The sequence below is a fragment of the Homo sapiens genome, chromosome 6, assembly GCF_000001405.40.
Source record: "Homo sapiens chromosome 6, GRCh38.p14 Primary Assembly".
Classification (NCBI taxonomy): Eukaryota; Metazoa; Chordata; class Mammalia; order Primates; family Hominidae; genus Homo; species Homo sapiens.
In genome coordinates, this window is record NC_000006.12 from 22,009,880 (window position 1) to 22,032,140 (window position 22,261).

At 41.0% G+C, this 22,261-nt stretch overlaps 1 long non-coding RNA gene across 1 annotated transcript in view, besides 2 other annotated features; it reads left to right on the forward strand.

Annotated features, from left to right (window-relative positions):
* CASC15 (cancer susceptibility 15) overlaps positions 1-22,261 on the forward strand; it is a 529,408-nt gene that overhangs the window by 343,467 nt on the left and 163,680 nt on the right. The window contains exon 7 of the long non-coding RNA NR_015410.2: positions 10,460-10,663. This is a non-coding gene — a long non-coding RNA (cancer susceptibility 15). The remainder of the gene's footprint in view (positions 1-10,459; positions 10,664-22,261) is intronic.
* Positions 16,062-16,231: an enhancer, noted in NCBI's record as "active region_24147". NCBI's record gives its function as "activates an Ori minimal core promoter by ATAC-STARR-seq in GM12878 lymphoblastoid cells {active_cell/tissue: GM12878}" and the evidence as "EXISTENCE:reporter gene assay evidence [ECO:0000049][PMID:35858748]".
* Positions 17,247-17,958: an enhancer, noted in NCBI's record as "H3K27ac hESC enhancer chr6:22027355-22028066 (GRCh37/hg19 assembly coordinates)". NCBI's record gives its function as "activates a minimal SCP1, AML or CMV promoter by ChIP-STARR-seq in primed H9 embryonic stem cells {active_cell/tissue: H9 hESC(primed)}" and the evidence as "EXISTENCE:reporter gene assay evidence [ECO:0000049][PMID:30033119]".

The window sequence follows — 22,261 nt, forward strand, 5'->3', positions numbered from 1 at the left end:
ATGGGATGTTATGATTTCTGGGCCCTTGGGCACGTTAGTAGACAGTTGTCAGTCTTCACTGAACATTGGTAATAGTTGCTTGTAAACTCTGACCTTAAGTGAAACTATATATAACAAAACCAGTTTTACCATAGGCTAATGGATATGGCATATTTTGGTCACAGAAACATCACCAAACATATAAACTAAGACCCAAAGCACTTCTAATGTTAAACTTTGAAATAAATGTGAGCTATACATAGACTTAAAGATTATTAAAAACAAGATAATTCAGTTCAGGGTCACAGGTGGCCAGGAACCTCATCTGGCAGGCAGCTCAGGGTGGGCACCATCTCTGGACAGGCTGCCATCCAATCACAGGGTGTGCTCACACACACCCACACCCACCCACAACATAGGAACAATGCAGACACGCCAATTCATCTGCTGTGCACAGCTCTGGGATGTGGGAGGAAGCCTGACTATTAGGAGAAAACCTACCATAGACGTGAGGAGAACATGCAGACTCCACCCAGACAGTGGCCCACATCTAGGAACTGATTTTTTTTTTCTTATCATCATTATAACAAAACAATGTTGAACATGATGATGTTATTCCAGGACCTGCTCCACCGGGCAAATGCAAAATTCAGGCATTTTTATAATGAGAATGTGTTCATCAGACCACAATAAAATCTCAGAATCTCATTTCCTTAAGGAAATAATAGAATCATCACTAGATATCATTAGAGAAGATGTAAAATTACTTGTTTCTATATATGTGTAGAAATATATTTTATTACATGTATCTTTACATAGATGACAAATATTTGATATATATTTTATATATATGTACCATGACTTTTCAATATATGCTATAATACAAAACTATTTTCACTTTATGTATTTACCATTTAATCCATTTAGTTTCTATACCCTGTGGCAGGGAATACTACAATGTGTGGGAATCTGGTCTTTCCATCTTCAGAGAAGGAGACCAGGTTCTCATGGATGGCATTGACTTCCGCAGGCTGCTTTGAAGCTGGATGTAGTTTGCAGTTTACACTCTGTCACTTCCACTTTATATCATTATCAGATGCCAAAAACCAATCCTTCTCGAAGTACAAGAGGAGCAGAGTTGGGGGAAGTAAGGGGGAAAATGAGACTTGACTTTTTTTTTCTTTTTTTGAGATGGAGTCTCGCTCTGTCACCCAGGCTCTAGTGCAGTGGAGCAATCTCAGCTCACTGCAACCTCTGCCTTCCGGGTTCAAGTGATTCTCCTGCCTCAGCCTCCCGAGTAGCTGGGATTACAGGTGCACGCCACCATGCCTGGCTAATTTTTGTATTTTTAGTAGAGACGGGGTTTCACCATGTTGGCCAGGCTGGAGAGACTTGACTTTTAGTAAGTAATGATGCTGAAAATTCACGTGCTAAATTAGCCACCATGAAGTTTAGTCAGCTTAATAAAAAGGTAAAAAGAAAAGGTATCTTAGAAGACATGAAAGAAGTATGAGATCCAAAAGTAAAAACAGAGTCGTGCATGTGAGGTATAGGAAAAAACTAAGAAACAGAGACTGGAAAGAAAGAACAAATAATAATCAGAAATGTTAGCAAGTAGGTTTGAGTTTCAGATCTTTCCCTAAGCGACACCCTTTAAGACTTTGATAAACTAATTTACAGTTATTTGATAATGAAAAGAACTTCCGAATGTCTAGTTATTTGAAGAGCTTTTTTAATTATAATAGGATAGAAATGCATGCTCCCCCCTTTTTCCATAAAGCATTCATTAACGTGTTAAAGGAAACGAAAGAATGATTAAAACCTAGATTTTCCTTGTGCGGCTTTTTCCTTTGATCCAGAAAAGAGCGGAAAACGTTGATGTTATTCATTTTCAAAGTCACGAACATGAACAAGTCATTCTGCATTGAATGATTTTTTCGTACTGTGTACAGTGCTAAAATCACATGCAGGTAAAATGTAAATACATGCCCACGAATGACCACATAACACCCACTCACAACTTCCACAGATATGCTGATAGCAGAATTGTCATTTAGATTGCCTACTGGATTTCCCAGAGAGGATGATCCCTTGCCTAAAGCTGTCATTTTACCTCCTCTACAGGAAATAAGCAGGATGTAGGGCCTGTTGGTTTTTGTTGGTAATGACCTCCCACAGCAACCTTTTCTGTTCTCGCAATGAGAAATCCACACAACAGCACAGAATAACGTTAAAGAGAGCCTGATGGAGGTTTGTGTGCTAGTTACTATTTGCAGCCAGTGTTAGGATCTGTGTTGTACTTAAGTCACAGGAATGTAATAAAGTTAACGTGTATCCAGTGCTTTCTATGTGCTAAGCGATGTTCAAATTGCTTCATGAGCATCCTCTCATTGAAATTTCACAGCAACACAATGGAGTCAATACCACTTTGTCCCCATTTGTTAGACGAGGAAACTGAGTGTAGCTCAGAGAAGAAATTTGCCCCAAGTCATATGCCTCGTAAGAAATGGAACCAGGATTTGAACCTGGACAACTTGCTCCAGGACTTTTCATCAGTCCTCTTTCCTGCTTCACAAGGACATGTGTGAAAATGCTCCTGAATCTATGCCACAGAGCAGTCATTCTGATTATGGACATAATGCTCCGCTTTTATAGCATTTCAGCCATTATATATTAATGGTATATTGGCTGTTCTTTTCATCTGAAAAACCTAAAACTTGACTATTGTGCTAGCTATCCTAGCTGAACAGTTTTTCATGTGTCATATTAGCAAATATGTTTTGTATTCTATCCAGGTATATCATACACTTACTTTGAAGTCTGGAATTGTGTGTTGAATACTCTGCATCTTTAGACATCTGTAGTCGTTTTTGGTTTGATTTTGCCAATATCAGATACTTCTAGGTATGAACTTATTTTCTCCATAAAGATGGATATGCCTTGTAGTTGCTATCTTGTAGGCAAGTGTCATCTGAGGCTTTCTAAAAGGCAGAGGTCCATGTGGATATCCTGGAGAGGGAATAAAATAAGCCTAGTGTGTAAACTATTACAAAATATTTAATACATAAATATATCTGAAGTTGTGATATCTGACATACAGAGTAGTCAGTAAGGAATGAACCCTGTGCTTGCAGACGGTGTGGAAATTTCAATGCTTTTTTAAAGGTCTGAGCATGTGGCCTACTATATCCATGTACATTAAGTCATTCTTAAGGGATTTTTGAGATTTCAATTTAGAGATCTAAGTTAATTGTATTCTTCAGATGCTTTTTACACCAGACCACACTATTTTCCAGAGAATAAAAATGTTCTGGCCGGGTGTGGTGGCTCACACTTTGGGAGGCCGAGGCGGGCAGATCACCTGAGGTTGGAATTCGAGACCAGCCTGGCCAACATGGTGAAACCTCGTCTCAACTAAAAATACAAAAAAATTAGCTGGGCGTGGTGGCGGACACCTGTAATCCCAGCTACTCGGGAGACTGAGGCAGGAGAATCGCTTAACCCGGGATGTGGAGGTTGCGGTGAGCCGAGATCACGCCATTGCACTCCAGCCTGGGCAACAAGAGCGAAACTCCATCTCAAAAAAAAAAAAGTGCCTACTTCTTAAGTGTTTTGAGTTATTCCAGTGTCCGTCGGTTATTTAATGATGAAAGCAATATATGAAATACCACGCGTTTCCTAATCCACCAGCACTTAGGTATGGAGTATCTGCTGTATTGGAGGAAAATACCATGTATTAGATATTGTAGGAAGAAGCTAAGAGCTTAGAGCCTGCTCTCAGCCAGTCCTTGGGTAGCTGAGGGACCAGACATACGTACGGCAAATATGGACTTATAATACTAGAGGGGCAGGTGAATCCCAAGCAAGTACCATTGTGTTTGGGGTGGCTTATTCCAGGGAAAGAAAGAAGGCATTATGTCGCAGAGTCTCATAGGAGGTGGGATTTTATCTCAAGTGTTGAAGGATTAAGTTGAACAAAATGATTGAAGGTAGAAATTCTAGCATGGGGAATGTGTGAACAGAACATTGGAATCAATATCTGTTTAGGACATGGGAAGGAGATGAACTTGACCAGAGCAGGGGTTTTCTCTAGGGAAAAATGGTATGAAATGGTATGTAAGATCTGCAGTACACATCAGAATCATGAATGTTTGTTGTTGAATATGGTTAAGGATAACTGGGGTCAGATTTTTTTTTTTTTTTTTTTTTGAGACGGAGTCTTGCTCTGTTGCCCAGGCTGGAGTGCAGTGGTGCGATCTCAGCTCACTGCAAGCTCCACCTCCTGGGTTCATGCCATTCTTCTGCCCCAGCCTCCTGAGTAGCTGGGACTACAGGTGCCCGCCACCACGGTCAGCTAATTTTTTTTGTATTTTTAGTAGAGGCGGGGGTTTCACCATGTTAGCCAGGATGGTCTTGATCTCCTGACCTCCTGATCCACCTGCCTCGGCCTCCCAAAGTGCTGGGATTACAGGCGTGAGCCACCGCGCCCGGCCAGGGTCAGATTGTTAAGTCTTGAATGGTAAGCACAGGGGTGTAGAGCAGCATTTCCTAAACTGTATTCTCTGTAGCCCAGTTAACCCACGAAGTGATTTGTGAAAATGCATTCTGTGATCACATGAGTGTAGGCAACATCATAGTCCACAAAGTGTACATGGACTTCTCACAGTCTTGAATTTGCTAATACATACTATGCATTCCCAAGGAGGTAGAATCATAGCATGCCACGTCTCTCACACTTTGAACACAGACTGCTTCCCAGAATACTCACGAACAGCTACCCTGCATGCTAGTTTTCTGTGTAATGCTGTTTGAAAAGCACTGGCTTCCATTGCTCCATGTAGGATGAAGCATTAAGAAACATTTTGGAAGAAGAGAACGATAAGAAGAAAGTATGATTATTATTGTTATTATTTTTTGAGACGAAGTCTCCCAGGCTGGAGTGCAGTGATGCGATCTCAGCTCACTGCAGCCTCCGCCTCCTGAGCTCAAGCGATTCCCCTGCCTCAGCCTCCCAAGTATCTGGGATTACAGGCGCCCACCACCACGCCCGGCTAATTTTTGTATTTTAAGTAGAGACGGGGTCTCACCATGGTGGCCAGGCTGGTTTTGAACTTCTGACCCCAAATGATCCGCCCATCTCGGCCTCCCAAAGTGCTGGGATTACAGGCATGAGCCGCTGCGCCTGGCCGGAAGTATGATTTAAGGAAAGTTTTATGTTGCTTAAATCTGCCTGCAGCTTTTTTTATTCCTGCAGGCATAGATCTAGGCCAGGGGTCCCCAACCCCTGGGCCATGGACCTGTACCAGTCTGTGGCCTGTTAGGAACCGGGACGCACAGCAGGAGATGAGGGGTGGGCGAGCATTACTGCCAGAGCTCCGCCTCCTGTCTGATCAAAGGCGGCATTAATTTCTCATAGAGCACCAACCCTATTGTGAACTGCACATGCCAGGGATCTAGGTTGCGCGCTTCTTATGATAATCTAACTAATGCCTGATGATCTGAGGTGGAACAGTTTCATTCCAAAAGCACCCCCTGACCCCCACCGCCATCCGTGGAAAAATTGTCTTTCATGAAACTGGTCCCTGGTGCCAAAAAGTTTGGGTCTGCTGATCTAAGTAGCTAAGATTTTAAAAGTACAGAGAAGTCCTAAAATTTCATGCCTTCCTAAAGCTACTGATGGGAACTAATTTCAAAGTTTGTTTTGTTGTTGTTTTGAATGCTGAGCTTCTGGCTCTTATTGTGCTCACTGACGCTGAGTTTGAAAGCCTCTTTGCAGTGGCCAGGCGCGGTGGCTCACGCCTATAATCCCGGCACTTCGGGAGGCTGAGGCGGCCAGATCACGAGGTCAGGAGATCGAGACCACCCTGGCCAACATGGTGAAACCCTGTCTCTACTAAAAATACAAAAATTAGCTAGGCGTGGTGGTGCGTGCCTGTAATCCCAGCTATTCGCAAGGCTGAGGCAGGAGAATCACTTGAACCCGGGAGTCGGAGGTTGCAGTGAGCCGAGATTGCGCCATTGCACTCCAGCCTGATGACAGAGCAAGACTCTGCCTTTAAAAAAAAAAAAATTTTTTTTTTTTGCTTGTTCATCTTAGGTATCTGTCTATATTAGGATGCTGCCCCACCTGGATGGTAATTGCTTTTGGGCATTAGCACTGTTAGAGGTGTGTGGCTGGGGAGAGAGCAATGTGGCCACCCATTTCATGCAACGCTCTCCACACCATCGTGGCATTGAACGAAGGATTCACTAGGAGCTATTGTAGCGATACACACGTGTTTGGGTTGAGGTGAGGTTCAGCCCCTCTGGCAGCTGTTGATAAAGGTTTTATTGCTGTTTCTAGCACCCTGCTCCTAAAACCCCTCTCTGACAATTTGGCCTGGTAGAACCCTTTGGACAGACCTGGTATTTGTGTTCTGTGTTGTCAGCCTCTGGATCATCACAGGATCATGGGAGATTGACTCCAAAAATTGTATCTTCCTCTACCCATATTTGAATGAGAATCATGTGGAAAGTATCGTATCTTCAAAAAATCCTTGATTGCTTTTTTCTCTGCCTTTCAATTGCTATGTTTAGGAGCATTTTCTTTAACTCTACGTTTTGAAATAAGGTGGCAAATAAATATGCCACCTTATAGATAAAATTAGACAAATAAGAACACTGGATCTAGAGAAATATTAGGAGAATCAATAATACAATTAACTGGATTCTTAGTTGTGAAGGTCTTCAATTAAAATCTGTTCTTCGCAAACACAGGTCGAACGTCAGGGTCGTGTGTTTGTGTGTGTGTGTGTGAGAGAGAGAGAGAGAGACAGACAGGCAGGCTCTCGTTCTGTCATTCAGCCTGGAGTACATTGGTGCAATCCTGGCTCACTGTAGCCTTGGTCTCTTGGGCTCAAGCAATCCTCCTACCCCAGCCTCTTGAGTAGTTGGAGCTACAGGCACACACTACCATGCCTGGTTAATTTATTTATTGTGGAGATGGAGTCTCCCCTTGCTACCCAGCGTGGTCTCAAACTCCTGGGCTTAAGCTATCCTTCTGTCTCAGCCTCCCAAAGTTCTCAGATAGCAGGTGTGAGCCACCACACCCAGCTGAAACATAAGTTTTTAATGAAAGTTGTCATGCTTACCAAGGATTAAGTGCCAAATCCCTGTGTAATTCTTTTCAACCCAGATTTAGACTAAAATTACAGAAAATGAGAGAAAAATTAGGATAGTAAGTACAAAATCCTGAAGTGATCATAATAAAAGCAAATCTGTATTTGGTTCAAATTCTAAGATAGATAAACATGAGTCTTTCAGGAGAATCGCTTAAAAAGAAAAGTTGTTCAGGAGCAGATGCTTCCAACTTTTTTTTAATACAGCTCATTTCATTTTTCTTTTGGTCACCCTAAAATGGTGAAAGGTTTCTTCATAGCCAAGTGGAATCTTTTTTATTTAAACTATTCTCAGAAAGTTTTCTGTGTATATACATGTTGCTACTCTCTTTGGACTTGTTTGTGTCTGGTCCTCTTGGAGATTTTTGAAATAATCAGAAACACTTATGTCATTGACAGTGTTTACTATCTTTGAACAATTGTTTACTTTTTTTTTTTTAACAGGTGGCATGTTGGAGCACGGGCCTGAGAAACAGTATAGCTAGGAGGGGAATTGAGTGTGAGACACTGGAATCAGGCTGCTTGGATTCTGGTCCTGGCTCCACTGTACACTAAGGCTGCAACCTTGGGTGACTTTGTCTCTCTGTGCCTTGGTTTCTCCTTAAGTAAAATGCAGTGAATAATAATAGTACCTGCTGCATAAGTTCTTTGTGAAGAGCTTAGAACAGTACCAGGTACATAATAAGTATTAAATAAGTGTTAGCCATCGTTGCTAAATAAATTAGTAACAAATAAATGTTAGCTATTGTTTTTAGATTGTATTGTTTGAAAAAGTGGCTTCTCACTTTTGGCGGGTTTTGGAAGAGGGAGAGAAAATGAGCCAGAAGGGAGGTGTAAATCTTTGTTTCTAATATGTTCACTGGAACATCTTCAACTGGAAGATAGGATTTGACTGTTATGTGTTTTCATATGTATGCAGAAGCCATGTTATTCCTCCCCTCCCCTGAGTCAATGCCAAGCTCCTGAACACTCTGTTTATGCAGCCTTGGAAACCTTCTAGCTTCATGTTCTCTACCAGAAGCTTGAAAACAACCAAAGAGAATATCGGGTTTACTCAAAACCTTGAGTGGCTCTTTGACACAGAAGCTTATAGTATTTAGCGTTCTAGGAAACCATACACGTGTATGTCAGTGTTGTTTTTTATGGTTGTCAGTGGAGGGCTAAAAATATCAGACCCTACATACATGTTGGTGACATTGGATTTTTTTTTGTCATGGTGTTAAGTGATTAAAATCAGGTTATTAGTGAACCATAATTTATTTATAGAGTCAAATTCAACAGAACTCTATTTAATGTCATTACTGACCATGAAATTGGCAGTTTGATATTTTAGGATGACTTTTGCTTGTTAGATGTTTGTCTTTGGAATGTTTTGAGAACTATGGCCCCCGTATAAGTCCGATCTTGTCTCTGAAGTATTTCCAAGTTCTTTGGTTTAGAATTTTTCCTGATGGTTTGCCACTAAAATCAAAAGCTGTGATGTGTGTTTGAGAAATTCCACAATCTTCTCAGCCCTTAGCCCCTGAATTCTTTCTCTAAATAGTTTCTCTAAACCTATATGACTTCAACTCCCATCCATAATGACTTCTAATCCATCTTCACTCTGGACTGCTCACATTTGCTCTGACCCCTCCAGAAGGTATCTCATCTGGGTTATAATACCATCCTCACCTCAAATTGAGGTGTCTTCAAAAGAGAATCCCCAAACTGGTTCTTCCTCCTTCCTCCTCAATGGCTCACTGGTGATATATTCTTATTCTTCTGCTTAGTGAGGTGTAATCCCTAGCTATTCTTCACTTTTTCCTCTCCTTTATCCTCCTTATCCCCACAGTCATTGAAACCTTTTAAATTCTTCAGTAGTACTCTTTCTCCCAACCATCTCCCTGGTCAAGAACTCATGGCTTCATGCCTATGTTAGCATAACAGCCTCCTAACCAGTCTGTATGATATGGTTATTTAGTCCCATATTCCCTTGGTAGCTTTCTGACTAACCTTCTAAAGCCTATATTTTATCTTTCACTCCTGATTCAAAACTTACAGTGGTTCTGAGGAAAGCCCAGATTCCTCCATCAGTTTGTCTTCATTTGGCCCTGCTCCTAATTTGTTCTCAGCATCTTCTACTCTGCAGCAGGAATTTCCTTTTTGTGTTTAGTGTCAAAACTACCATCACACCAGGCCCATTCTTCCTTTATTTGAATGCTTTAGAATCTCCTTCACTCTGTTTCCACTCAGGTATCTCTCTGCCATCCTTCAAGCTTCAGCTCAAGTCTTCCTGTTCTCCTTCATCTATACCTCTTCACTAGGAGACTCAGAACCTGCACTTTCTTTATCTCTCATTTCTTGCCTTGGGTGAACACATGTTACCTGTCCATTTTGATAACTCCCTAAGGGCAGGTATTATTAATATTAGGTTTCTGTGTCCCTCAGTATGATTTATATACCATAGTAGGTACTAAATAAGAGAATGTGGAGTAATCCTCTCCCAAAACTTGGGGAAGTCAACACATACACTGCTCTACTTGGGATCCAATGAGATGGCATATGAGGCAGCATTCATAGAAGGACTGTGCAAATGTAAGGCAGTGTCTTTCATTGCTGGGCACATTTGGGGTTTTTGATGATGCTGTCCTCTATTCCAGAATAGCAGTATGTGGTCAGGACTTCTCATGAGTTTCAAAGTTTAATTGGAGACAACCAAAATGTGTTTCCAATAATAGGTCATAAAAAATAAGGCTTCTATTTGCGCATATGTTTACTTGTTTATTTACATATTTTCCTAGGTCTTTTATTTCCTCACTGTGAATATATTTGTTTTTAAATGCAACAGCTGACTAGGATAAAGGTGCTGTTTTCTGGTCACCTCTGCATTGCCATGGTCTTTGTTATTGGGCCAAGAACCTTATTTATCTTAACACACACAATTGCTTAAGGATGGGGATTATATCATCATCCTTTGCATCATTGAATTACACTGTGCTGCCTTCCCACATTGTCATGCGTACCAACTATCTAATCCAGAATGTCACACGCTGCTCCCTCTAAGCCATTTCCATGTTTCAGCTAGTACCAGCCGTGAAAAATCGCAGGCAAGAGCGGGGAGCTGCCTGCATTCTCCAGTAGGGCACCACTCTACACCTAAGCTCTTTGGTAAAAGGGGATATAGAATCTATAGCTGTAAGCAAAAATGAGTCATTTTCACATCTGATTAACATACATTTTCTTCCCCAGATAAACCTGTATCTTCATTAATTTTTTTTTCCTTATCCTTTTTACCCAGGTAGTTCATATCAGTGAACATATTGGTCTTTTTTTCCTCTTTATAGGATCTGCATTTACTGCTCAACCACATCTAATTTGATGTCCTCTGCAGATTTAAAATGTGTGCCTTCTTTTCCGTCACCAAGTCATCCCTGGGTTACTACTGAACATCCTTCTCAATTCCCCCCGACCCATGGATGGCTGTTCTCCATTGTCTGTTTCACCAGATGTCCTCAAAACAAACAGACAGAAGAAGGAAGTGGCTAATGGTAAGAATTTTTTGTCCCTCTTAGAAAAATTTTAATGCATTTACTTTAAAGTGCTGGAGATGTGAGGTTTTTCTTGTAAGTAGGTAATATGAGTATAGTTCAAACATTTTGTTTTTAGGATATCAAAATTGTAGGAACCTTCATTGGGTCCTTTCATAGTGATGAATCAGAAAAAAGATGAAAGAGTACAGTACAGATAACTTTTTCAAACGTTCAAACATTTATGACATTCTTCTGGTTTCAGATCCCAATGCTCTCTACGTGTCACTCCTGGCATGACCCACCCACACACAAAACTCAATAGAGCCAGAGACAAACTCATTCTGTCTGTTTTAACACTTTTTCCTTTGAGTTTTGTGCTTCAAAGATCGTTGTTCTCATTTCTCTGCTGTCCCCTGCTCCCCAGTCACTCATTCCCTATTCAAGCAGTTTGCCATGCCTTCCAAATATTTCTCTAATTCACCCCCATTTCCCCATTCTCCTATTTGGCCCTGACCATCTCCGGCCCTGGCTGGTTCAGTCACCTTCTTACTGGGCTATCTAGTCTATCATGGACAGTCCCTACTGCTCCCACCCTTCTCAGGTGGATCTCCTTATGTTACTTTTGTTATTGACTGAAGAGTGTATTTCAAGATTTTCAGCATTTCATGCCCCATCTTTCTCTTTGCCATAATCTTCCCACACCTGTATTCCCTGATGTCTTTGATTTGGTGGTCTAGTTCTGGTCCAGTTTCTGAATCAGTGCTGATTGAGACATAGTACATGTAAACGTTTTCCATTCTCCCCTCATCTCTTCCCCTATCCAATGGGCACTTAAAATTAAAATGACTATCCTACCAGAAATTTGGTGGCCCAGTAATGACCTCTGGGTTGCTGTGTCTTTCCTGTTGTTCCCACTACTATTCAGACCCACTTTCCTTCCCCAACATGTTGTCATTTGGTGGCTTCTATTTATAGTTCTTCCAGCCACCTTGTATTAACCTAGTCTAGGATTATACCTGGGTTTCTGTTCCTAAATTTTGACTAGTTACTAAGGTTAATAATCTTGTCTTCCTCTAACGTGGCAGCTTAGACTTCAATTTATTCTTGAGAGTTGGAGTGCCTTCCATCTGAATTCTTCTTCTTTTTTTTTTTTTTTTAAGATGGGGTCTTGTTCTGTTGCCCAGGCTGGAGCACAGTGGTAAAATCATAGCTCACTGCAGGCTGGAACTCCTGGGCTCCAACAGTCCTCCTCCTTCAGCCTCCTAAGTAGCTGGGACTATAGGCGTGTACCACCATACCTGGCTAATTTTTATTTTTTGTTGAGATGAGGTCTCGCTTTGCTGCCCAAGGTGGTCTCAAACTCCTGGCCTCAAGCTACCCTCCCACCTTGGCCTCCCAAAGTGCTGGGATTATAGGCGTGAGTCACTGCCCTTGGTCTGAATGATTCTTATCAAGACTGGTGATGGTGGCATCTAAGAACAGCTGGGGGTGACTCTTTGTTCACTGTGTGTATTAATTTCCTCTGGCTGCTGTAGCAAATTACCACAAACTTGGCACCTTAAAACAACAGACATTTAGGTTTTGACAGGGCTGAGCTCCTGCCAGAGGCTCTGGGGGAGAATCTGTTCCTTCTCTCTTCCAGCTTCTGGAAACTGCTGACATCCCTTGGCTTGTGGCCTCATCACTCCAATATCTGCCCCCTCCACGGCCACATTGCCTTCCTGTCTTCCATCTGTAGTCAAATCTGCCTCTGCTTCCCTCTTAGAAGCATACATGTAATGACATTTAAGGCCCAACTAGATAATTCAAAATAATCCCCCCATCTCAAGATCTTTAATTTCATCACATCTGCAAAGTCTTTGCATAGAAGGTAACATTTACAGGTCCCAGAGATTAGGACCTGATATATTGGTGGCCATTATTCTGTGTACTACACTGTCCATCTAGGTTGGGCCTGCTACTTCTCCTGGAAGTCCCACTCTTGACCATTTCTGAGTCATGGTTCAGTGCACTATGCCTTCCTGCTTCTCTGCCTCTTTGTCTTCCTCACCTCTACCTACAGAACTGGCCTTAGCAATGCTGTCGGTTTCCCCAAGGTCTGTCTCAGGCCCAGGGGCCAGGGCTACCTCCTGTTCCTGCTGCTTCTCTTCCTGTACACTTGCCTCCTTCTCTTTTATTGAGTTGTAGAAAATACCAAGTCTCTTTTCAAAAATCTCGTCCTGTGATGCCTCCTTCCTCACAAAGACCTTGCAATCCAGGCCCTTCCGGGCTGTCTGCGTTGTGTGACACTTAACTCGGACATATGTAGACATGCCTTGAGATGTGGGCTGCCATTTATTTATCTAAAATGCCCCTTCCCCTTGCTCTATATTGGGTGAAATATTGTACATTTTGCAAGGTCTTGTTTAAGTGTCAAATTCTCTGAGACTTTCCTAAGCCCCTCCCCCTCCTCTTTTCCATACAGAATCAATTACATCTTCCCTCTGTTCTTCCTTAGCACTCTGTTTATACTTGACTCAAACCCTTCCCACATTGTGTTATACTTTATTTTGTCTCTGTCTCTCCTTGCTGGACTTTGAGGTTCATGAGAACCAGGAAAAGGATATTATTCATCTTTTTTAATTTTAACCTGACATGGAACTCACAATACATCCTTGATATAATAATAATATGTGTTTAATTAATTGATTAATTTGAATTTTAAACTTTTCATAATTCAGAATATCTTAGAATAGATGAACATTTAATACTTTTCTCCCAATTTCCTTATGGACCCAAGAGTAATTATTTTCCTTAGATGGCTATGTACAGTCAAGCATGGCTTTTGTTTCCAGTATAAATTAATTTAAAATACTGTAATTTATGCATTCTCTTCTTTACATTTTGTTCAGTGTGGGGGTTATTACCCTTACCCCTCTAGAGAGCCAATTTACTTATTTTATTTTATTTTTGAGACAGAGGCTTGCTCTGTCATCCAGGCTGGAGTGCAGTGGCTTGATCACAGCTCACTGCAGACTTGACCTCCTGCACTCAAGCAATCCTCCCACCTCAGCCTCCCGAGTAGCTGGCACCACAGGTGTGTGCCACCATGCTTGGCTAATTTTTAAAATTGTTATTGTTTGTAGAGATAGGGGTATCCTTGTGTTGCCCAGGCTGGTCTCAAACTGGGCTCAAGTGGTCCTCCCATCTCAGCTTCCCAAAGTGCTAGGATTACAGGCGTGAGCCACTCTACTTGGCCCAATTTACTTTAATATGAGATTTTTCTAAACCTTAAAGGCTACCAGTGTAATGTTGTCACTTGATTGTCTTCTTGTAGATCCAGACTTTTAAGCAGGAATTAGGAATGTTATCTGTGAAGATTGCTTCTTTTCACTTACTGGTGCTCTACTGAAACAATACTATTTTCCTCCCTTTTCCTGGGTGTTTTGTCTGAGTACATGTGAATGTCAGAGTTATTTTCCCTGCCTTGTCACTGGAATCTGCAGCCAGCCTCCCTGATTGTGAATGCATCCATGCTGTACAGCTGGCGTCTGTTTCCTATTTCTATAGCCGTGAGTCTCTCAGGGCTTTTGTAGAGAGTACGGGTGTTTTATTACATTGCATGTCTTATATGTATGAGAAACTTAAAGGGCTTTGAGGATTTTCTTTTTCGGTATCTAATCTTCTAACAGCTCTCTGAGGTAGGTAGCAGGAAGTGTTATCTCCATTTTGCAGACGTTATAACAGAGGCATAGCACAACTTGATGTAGGCCCCACAGCAAATCAAGGGCTGAGTGGAAAAGGTCTCCCTAGTCTTTCAACCTCCACTTCAATGCACTAGTTGCCAGACAAGTTAATTTTAATTTTTAAAACCTCCATCCATTTTGGTTTTGCATGAAATGTTATTGTCAGCATTCAGGTGGTAGCAGTGCTCCAGTTCTAGTACTACCTTTCCCATCTTCTGCATCCTTCTAGAATCCCTTCTTGCTTGTCACGGTCACACACACTCATAAGTGTGTCTCTCTTTTTATGTGTGTATGTATATATGTAAATAAAGAAAATAAAAATATATACTCTTTCTTTAAAAAGAGTTTCTGTACAACATTAGGTTCTGCAGAGGGGTTGTTTGGTCTGGGGACTATATGCAAATATGAGATTTCTGTATTAGCAGCATATCTGATACTTTCCAACTAGTTTTTTTTTTTTCTTGTCAATCAAACATACTATGTAGATATTAGCTGTAGGCAAGGAAAGATTTAAAAATATAACCGACATGGGCAATATAGTGAGACTCTGTCTCTACAAAAAAAATTAAAAAAATTAGCAGGGTGTGGTGGCACATGCCTGTGGTCTCAGCTACTTGGGAGGCTGATGTGGGAGGATTGCTTAAGCCTGGGAGTTGGAGGCTGCAGTGAGCTGTGATCTCACCACTGCACTCCAGCCTGGGCAACAGAACAAGACCCTGTCTCAAAATAAATTAAAAACATATATATATAACCTATGACAATGGGAAACATAAGAAGTACTATAAAACTGGATATCAGATACTATTAATAAGTGAAATAAATGTTTTTACTCAGGTAATTCCTCTATGTGACTTATGGTATCCTCAAAGTGAGCTCATACTGTAACTTTCACATAACTTTCCGTCAAATGTGAAGATTTTTTTCTTCTCTCAGGGGACAGTTAATGCCTTTTGGTAAATGTAAAACTGTACTGCGAATGTCAGTTCCTGATCAGATTTGCCTGAGTCTCTAAAGGGAACATGACAAGGGGCTTTGTGCCTGCTGTGTAGGGTGTGTGGTAAGGCGTCTTTCTTCCTTGTGGCTGAATTTGGAATGCCCCGCTCTTTCAGTAAGTGCCATTAATTACACTATTGCTCCTAGAGCACTGAACTGCTCAGCAGGGAATTTCTCCCCACTTTCTGGAGTCTCTGGGGCAGTTTCCATTCATTGCTGTGGGTGGTGGTGAGGCACAGGCTCTGCACCAGCCGCCTGGCTGGAATCCGCCTGGAGACCTCTTTGTGATTTCCCTGAGCTGGGAGAGGGGATTTGGAGCACCTGGTGGGGGGATGCAGCTTGCCACCCTCGTCTTCGTCAGCCTCTCCCCTCCACCCCCTGCACTTGGGAGCACCACCCGGCAGCAGTGTTTTTGTGCCTTGAAACCTTTTGGAGCCGCTGGAATGGAGGCCACCCAGAGCTTCTGTGAGCAGCTGTAGCTGCAGATCTCCTATTGGCCAGAGCAGAGAATGTTCTTACTTATCTCCATTGAGCATGGGTGGCCGTGATCCCTCAGGATAATGCAATTTCTCACTGTCTGGAGGTGGAAGCTATTGTCCTGCTCTCCAGCTTGTTGTTTGAAGTCTTTTTGTAAGGCTTCCGGCTTCTGCTGACTCACAGACACACACAGAAAAACTCCCTTACTGGCTTGCTCCCTCCCAAGGCTTTTGAAATGGCTAAGGAGATAACAAACCTCCCCCCTGCAAGGGGGTAATAGCTTAAATAGTAAGTAGAAAGAACTGTTTTGTACATGTCCACAAAGTCTGAGAAACTTCATCTTCCTCTTTCACTGCTCACTCCGTTTCCTTCCTTGTCCCTTACTCCCCTCTTCAAAAGTTTTGGGCTGAGCCACAGGCCTAAATGTGGTTTGCATATGATTTTTACAGAGGCACAATTCACATCTGGGGACTTTTTCAGATTAACAAGTTGAAGGATGCCATCTTTGTTTCCCCTATGGAAAATTGCCATTTCTAATGAACATTTTATGAAGAAGCCTTCTTCACTTACCTCTCCCACTTGTGATAAACTGTAATTAAAATGTATGAAGAACTTGATTCATGGTGTATGCACCTGGGCTCTTTGTGGAGTCTCTCTTAGCAATATGCCGTGAGAACAGACTGGCAGTTGATGGATTTCTAAAGCAGAAAATCAAGCTTATTCACAATAGAAGCTTATAGTTTTAAAAACCACATGGATAAGAGGACTGTAGTTTTGCAAGATTTGGCAATCATCGATGAACCCAGTAGCCACAGTGACCGAGACTGAAAATGTAGAAGGCTAGCTTTCCTTCTTAATTACTTTTAAACTACGTTAGCAAATTCTCAGGGTCAGTGTGATAGTGATAGTTTCAATGCTTGATTATAGTGATTTTTTTTCGCATAATAATTTTCTTATGTTCCCGTAGCGTAACATAGGTCTTTTTATTAATTAAGGAGAAAGAGAAAGATTGTGTAGAAAGCATTCTTATGTGGTAGCATGTGTGAACTTCTTATAATTAGCAACATGTCCTCATTGCGTACTTAGAAAAATCCAGTGATATAAATCCTCTATTTTGTGCAGTCACTATTTACCCAACTAAATCATTTAACTGATAACATTCACACCTTTCTCCATGATATTTTAGAATAATATCAATGTACAAAAATAATCTCTGTCCTTTCATTGTCATCAGTTTATGAAAATACTGCCAAAGAGTTGGAAAACAAAGTTTTCTCATGTTTTACAACACAGCTCCCCTGGGCCACTGGGCCTAATTTGTTCTTACTAATTTTCAAAAGAGACTCCATCCTTTAGCTCCCCAGAAATATACAGGCTGTCCTAAAGAAGCCGCAGCCTGATACAGAAACTCTGCCAACTTCTAGGAAATGGAAGGTTCTGGAAAGTAGATCATTTTTCCCTCTGGTAGGAACAATATAAGTTTTAGACGTGGGTGGGGGGGTGTTGTGTTTGTGTTAGACATATATGTATACAGCTGCTAGTGCAAAAATCACAAACCTTTCAGTTTCCCTAAGGCTTGTCTGCAGCCCTTGTGCCTTGAATGCAGATTGTAATAAATAGAGGCAGTCTCTGGCTGGAAATGCCGGACATCTCTGTTTGAGTTAGAGCTCTTGTTCCAGGCGTCAGGGGATTAAGACAGAGGGTTGTTTTCTAGCTTGCCCTAGAGCCCCTGGGCCTTTGCGGATTGGCGTAGTTGCCTTTCTGTGTGTGCAGAATCTTGCCTCCAGCCTCCCACAGTGTGGGGAGAGAGAATAGGGAGAAGTGAGGGAAGGGAGGTAAATTATTCAACTTCTGCAAAATGTCAGGCACTGTGCTGGGTACTGTACATATATTTCACTGAAAAGTAAGTCTTTTATAAATATGGCAATGTAGAGCTTCAGAGATGGGATTTTGGAGCCAGACCGCCGAAATCAATGATTTTGCCAGGATTCAAATGATAACTTGGCCACTTTCGAGGTATAGGACTACTTGGTGCCTCAGTTTCTCCATTTGTAAAGTGGGGATAATATCAGAACTAACCTCAATTGTTTGTTGTTGGGATTAAATTGTAAAGTACTTAGAAGCGTGCCTGGCATGCAGTGATAGATAAGTGTTACATGAAAGGAATGGAAAACAGAAGTTAATCCACTTGCCCAGTTCAACTAGCAAGTAGCTGGGGCAGGATTTGAATCTGGGTCTGTTGGCTTAAAAGAGATGATTTTTGCCTGGGGAACATGGTGAAACCTCATCTCTACAAAAAATACAAACATTATCCAGGCATAGTGATGCCCCCCTGTAGTTCCAGCAACTTGGGAGGCTGAGGTGGGAGGATGGCTTGAGGCTGGGAGGTGGAGCTTGCAGTGAGCTGTGATTGTGCCACTGCACTCTAGCCTGGGGTAACAGAGTGAGAACCTGTCTCAAAAAATAAAAATAGAGATACGATATTTTTACCTTACCATAGCACCATACTTTCTTTTCTTCCTAGCTACATTTGAGGTGGTACCTTGGAGTCAATTCTCTCCATTCCTCCCCACCTTACCTGATCAGGGGTGGTTGCTGTATCAGTCTAGTTTTCCCTTTTCCTTGCTCTTGTAGAGACATCGTAGGGCCAGGACTCAGAGCTTAAACATTTAACATCTTCTGTGCAGGCAGGTGATAATAGCTTCTTTCCCCCAAACCACTGTGGGGTTGAACTAACCATTTTAGTTGCATGGTCAATTTTTTGGGCTGGAATAAATGATCTTTTGTTCTTTCTTATAGTTATTTGATGTGTTGGTTCTTTTCTTTACTCAAAAATAGAAGCATCTAATGAGCAGCCTCGATGTCACACACTTCCTGTTGTACTCACCCAAGCAGTTGACTCTCTGCTGAGCACATTGGTAGCAGCTCATGGGCGTTTGAATGGAGGAAGAAGGCATCATATTAAATGGCTTTTCCCTGTTTTTGGACATAAAATGCCATGGGACAGCTTTTTTCTTTTTCGTGGCGGCAGGATCAAGAGTATAGAGTCTGGATTTGGAGATCTTTGACGTGTGCTTTGCTTCACCTGGCAATTTCTGCTGGGATTTCCAGTTGTAAGCCCATGTCCCTCTATCCTGCGATCCCTCTAAATGTCTGGAGTTGGCTTGAACCTGCATATCTTATGCCAACTTTCCTCTCTTAAGAAATGCTGCTAAAGAGGTAGAACATATTTACAAAGTCCTTAGCTGTGACGATGAAGAACATAACATTTGGTCTCCAGTAAGGAAAATAAAAAAGGGATTTGATTACTTTTGCCCCAGTCCCACCTAATTCACCTACACATGTCCAGTTTACTTTGGACAGGAGTTTTCATTAATGTTAAAATGTATGTAAACTGAAGTGGGGTTTTTGACTAAGGACACAGGGTCTCTAAGGCAAGACAACACTATTAATAGAATGTGGATGTGTGTGGTTTATTTTTGTTTTCAAAATGGAAATGTTTCTTCGGGGTTTTGGCATGCTCTTTGATATGTTGAAAGATGAGAAAACATCATTTGGGAAACTCAGCACTTCTACCATATTAGGAAATTTACAGTGCTTCAGATTTCACATTTAATGTTTTAATTGCCTGGTTTGGTAATAGAAAAATGTCAAGCTTCTCTCTTTCATTTGGAGTTACCACCACGTTTTTTTCCCTCTTTGCAGTGATGGGCTGTTGCCAGCTTCTACTTACTGCCCCAGTCCCAGCATGGACTGAGTATTTGCTCTGAGAAAGCAGTTCCTCACATGTCATCTGAAATGAGTATCAATGTGGACTTCTGACATACTGGTTTAGCCTTTTTTGTATGATATCACATATGCAGTTGTTTCCTGTGGTGCTTGTAAATATCCTAAATGTACAACTAAAATTGAATTGTCTTTTTGAAACTTTTAAATTGTTTTTGAACAGAGGGTGCTATTCTCAACATTACATAAAGTACAGAAGAAGTCAAAGAAAACACTGCTATTCTGATCTGAGAGCAATCTTTAGGAAAAGCCTGTACATTACAAGAGAGAGACAGACACACATGGAAACAGAGAAACACACACGCAGATCAAGGCAGAGAGAGGCAGACAGAAATGGAGACTGAGAAGGAGAGAGGAGGGTGGAGTTGTATATTCTGTGAAGTGTAGGCCTTTTGGAAAAATCAAGACCCAAAACAGAGTTGAAATTTACTCTTCTTATAAATATACCTTCCTACTGAGGAAACAATGATGAAAGAACTTCCAGAAGTAATTTTTTGCGGACAATAAAATGTGGAGGGAAAAATCCTGTACATCATCTTTACTGTCATACATTGTCACAGGATTTAGAGGGGAAATATGCTTTTATCTGGGGAATTAGGGCTCTATTGCTAAGCAGCTGAGTACAGGTATTTTCACTTTCCCTGCACAGTTATCTCCAAACAATATTTGCAAATAAAATAGTTATTTCATTTTTCAATATCCAAATATAATTTTTAACTATATAGTAAGTCATACTTAGTATAGAAAATTTGGAAAAATACAGAAAGACCTCCAGAAAAAAATAAAAATAACCTGCAATCATATAATCTAGAGGTAATTTGAATGTATTTCCTTTTAGAATGTGTTTCTATGTGCTTATGTCTATATGTATTTTTTATATAAGTGGAATCACACTGCACATACATTTTAGATTCTTCACTTCTCTCTATAACAATAAACATGTTATTTAATGGTTACATTGTAATTCTTGGTAGGACTCTATCACAATTCATTTTACCATTTCCCTATGGGTTTTCTTCTTCACTAATTACGTTGGTAGTGATCTATGGGTTAGGTTAAGAAATGCTGTAAAGAGGATCTTTGAGTGTGAATAGTTTTTCTGGATTCCTGATTATTTTATCAAGTTATGTTTCTATATAAGAATTATTGTGTCTTTTTAAGGCCTCCTTTGCACATTGCTAAATCACTTCGCAGAAAAGTTGTATGCCTTGAACTCTAACATTTCAGATTGCTCATCTTTCTTACCTGAGACAATACTGACCCACTTTTAAGACCTCCTTCATCTAACATGAAAAATAATACTTTATTTGTTACTTTAACTTTCATTCTTTGTGAATTATTTGTTTTATTGGAACTTTTATTGTTATGTTTTATTGGTTGTTTACTTATTGGCTGCTGTAAATTCTCTACAAGCGCCTTTTCTGTATTTCTACTGGGATTTTAATGATGACTGTATAGATTAGTGTGACTTCTTATTTATTCAGGTTGTTAACTCTTGTTTGACTTACTTCCTTTTTTATACATACAGACATAAAATCTAATTTTTATCTAGTGATAAATGCTTTGTAACATCATTTTTCTTTCCTTTCCCTTATTTTTTTTTAATCTTCTCTTAATTTTTCTCCCTCTGAAATGCCCTTGAAATTTCTTTGCTTCTCAGTCTTATCTCTCCACTTCTCCACGGTCTTTTCCCCAGAATACTTTTCCAAGCTCACTTCCTGCCATGATCCCAACCAAGTCTTGCTTCATCTGGATTTCTCCACTTTTCCCCTTATGCACAGTTTTGCTTTCGGTGATTTCTATTACCTGCGGTCAACTGTGGTCTGAAAATACTAAATGGAAAATTTCAGAAATAGACAATTTGTAAGGATTAAATTGTGTGCCATCCTGAATAATGTGATGCAATCTCATGCCTTCCCATGCCGTTCCTGCTCTGGATGTGAATTATCCCTTTGCCAGAGTAGCCACTGTATACACTGCCTGTCCATTAGTCATTTGGTAGCCATCTAGCCATCAAATGGAAAAAACATAGTGCATATGGCATAGGGGTTGGTACTATGTTTCTGTTTCAGGCATTTACTGGGAGTCTTGGACCATATCCCCCGTGGATAAGGGAAGACAACTATACCTGGCAAATTCCACTTGCAGCTCTGTGTGTGTGTTTCCCTTGACATGTTATCGTGGATTCTTCTTTCTCTTTTAAGACAGAGCTGGTATGCCACCTCTTTCATACAACCTTCCTTCACTTCAGCATGTGGTGATCTGTCCTTGCTCTGTTTTCAGTGCTCATTTTGCACTTTTTGCACACTAATTTATATCTTTAGTTATACCTTCATGTGTGTATGTTTTGTCACCCTGTATAGGCTGCCAGGTCCTTGTAAGCACAGATGCTATCGCTCTCATTTCTCTGTAAGCCTTATCCTCACCTTGGGCACCGCCCAAAAATACTTAGGACAGTGCTCCATGTATGGGACAACTAGACACTTAGCAATATGTTGTTGACCGATCACTCTCGTGATACTTTACTTTTTCCATCTTATTTCTTTTTGCCTTCTGCCCCTCCCCTCCCCGCTTCCTTCTTCTTCTTTTTTTTTTTTTTTGACAGAATTTAACTCTTTTTGCCCAGGCTGGAGTG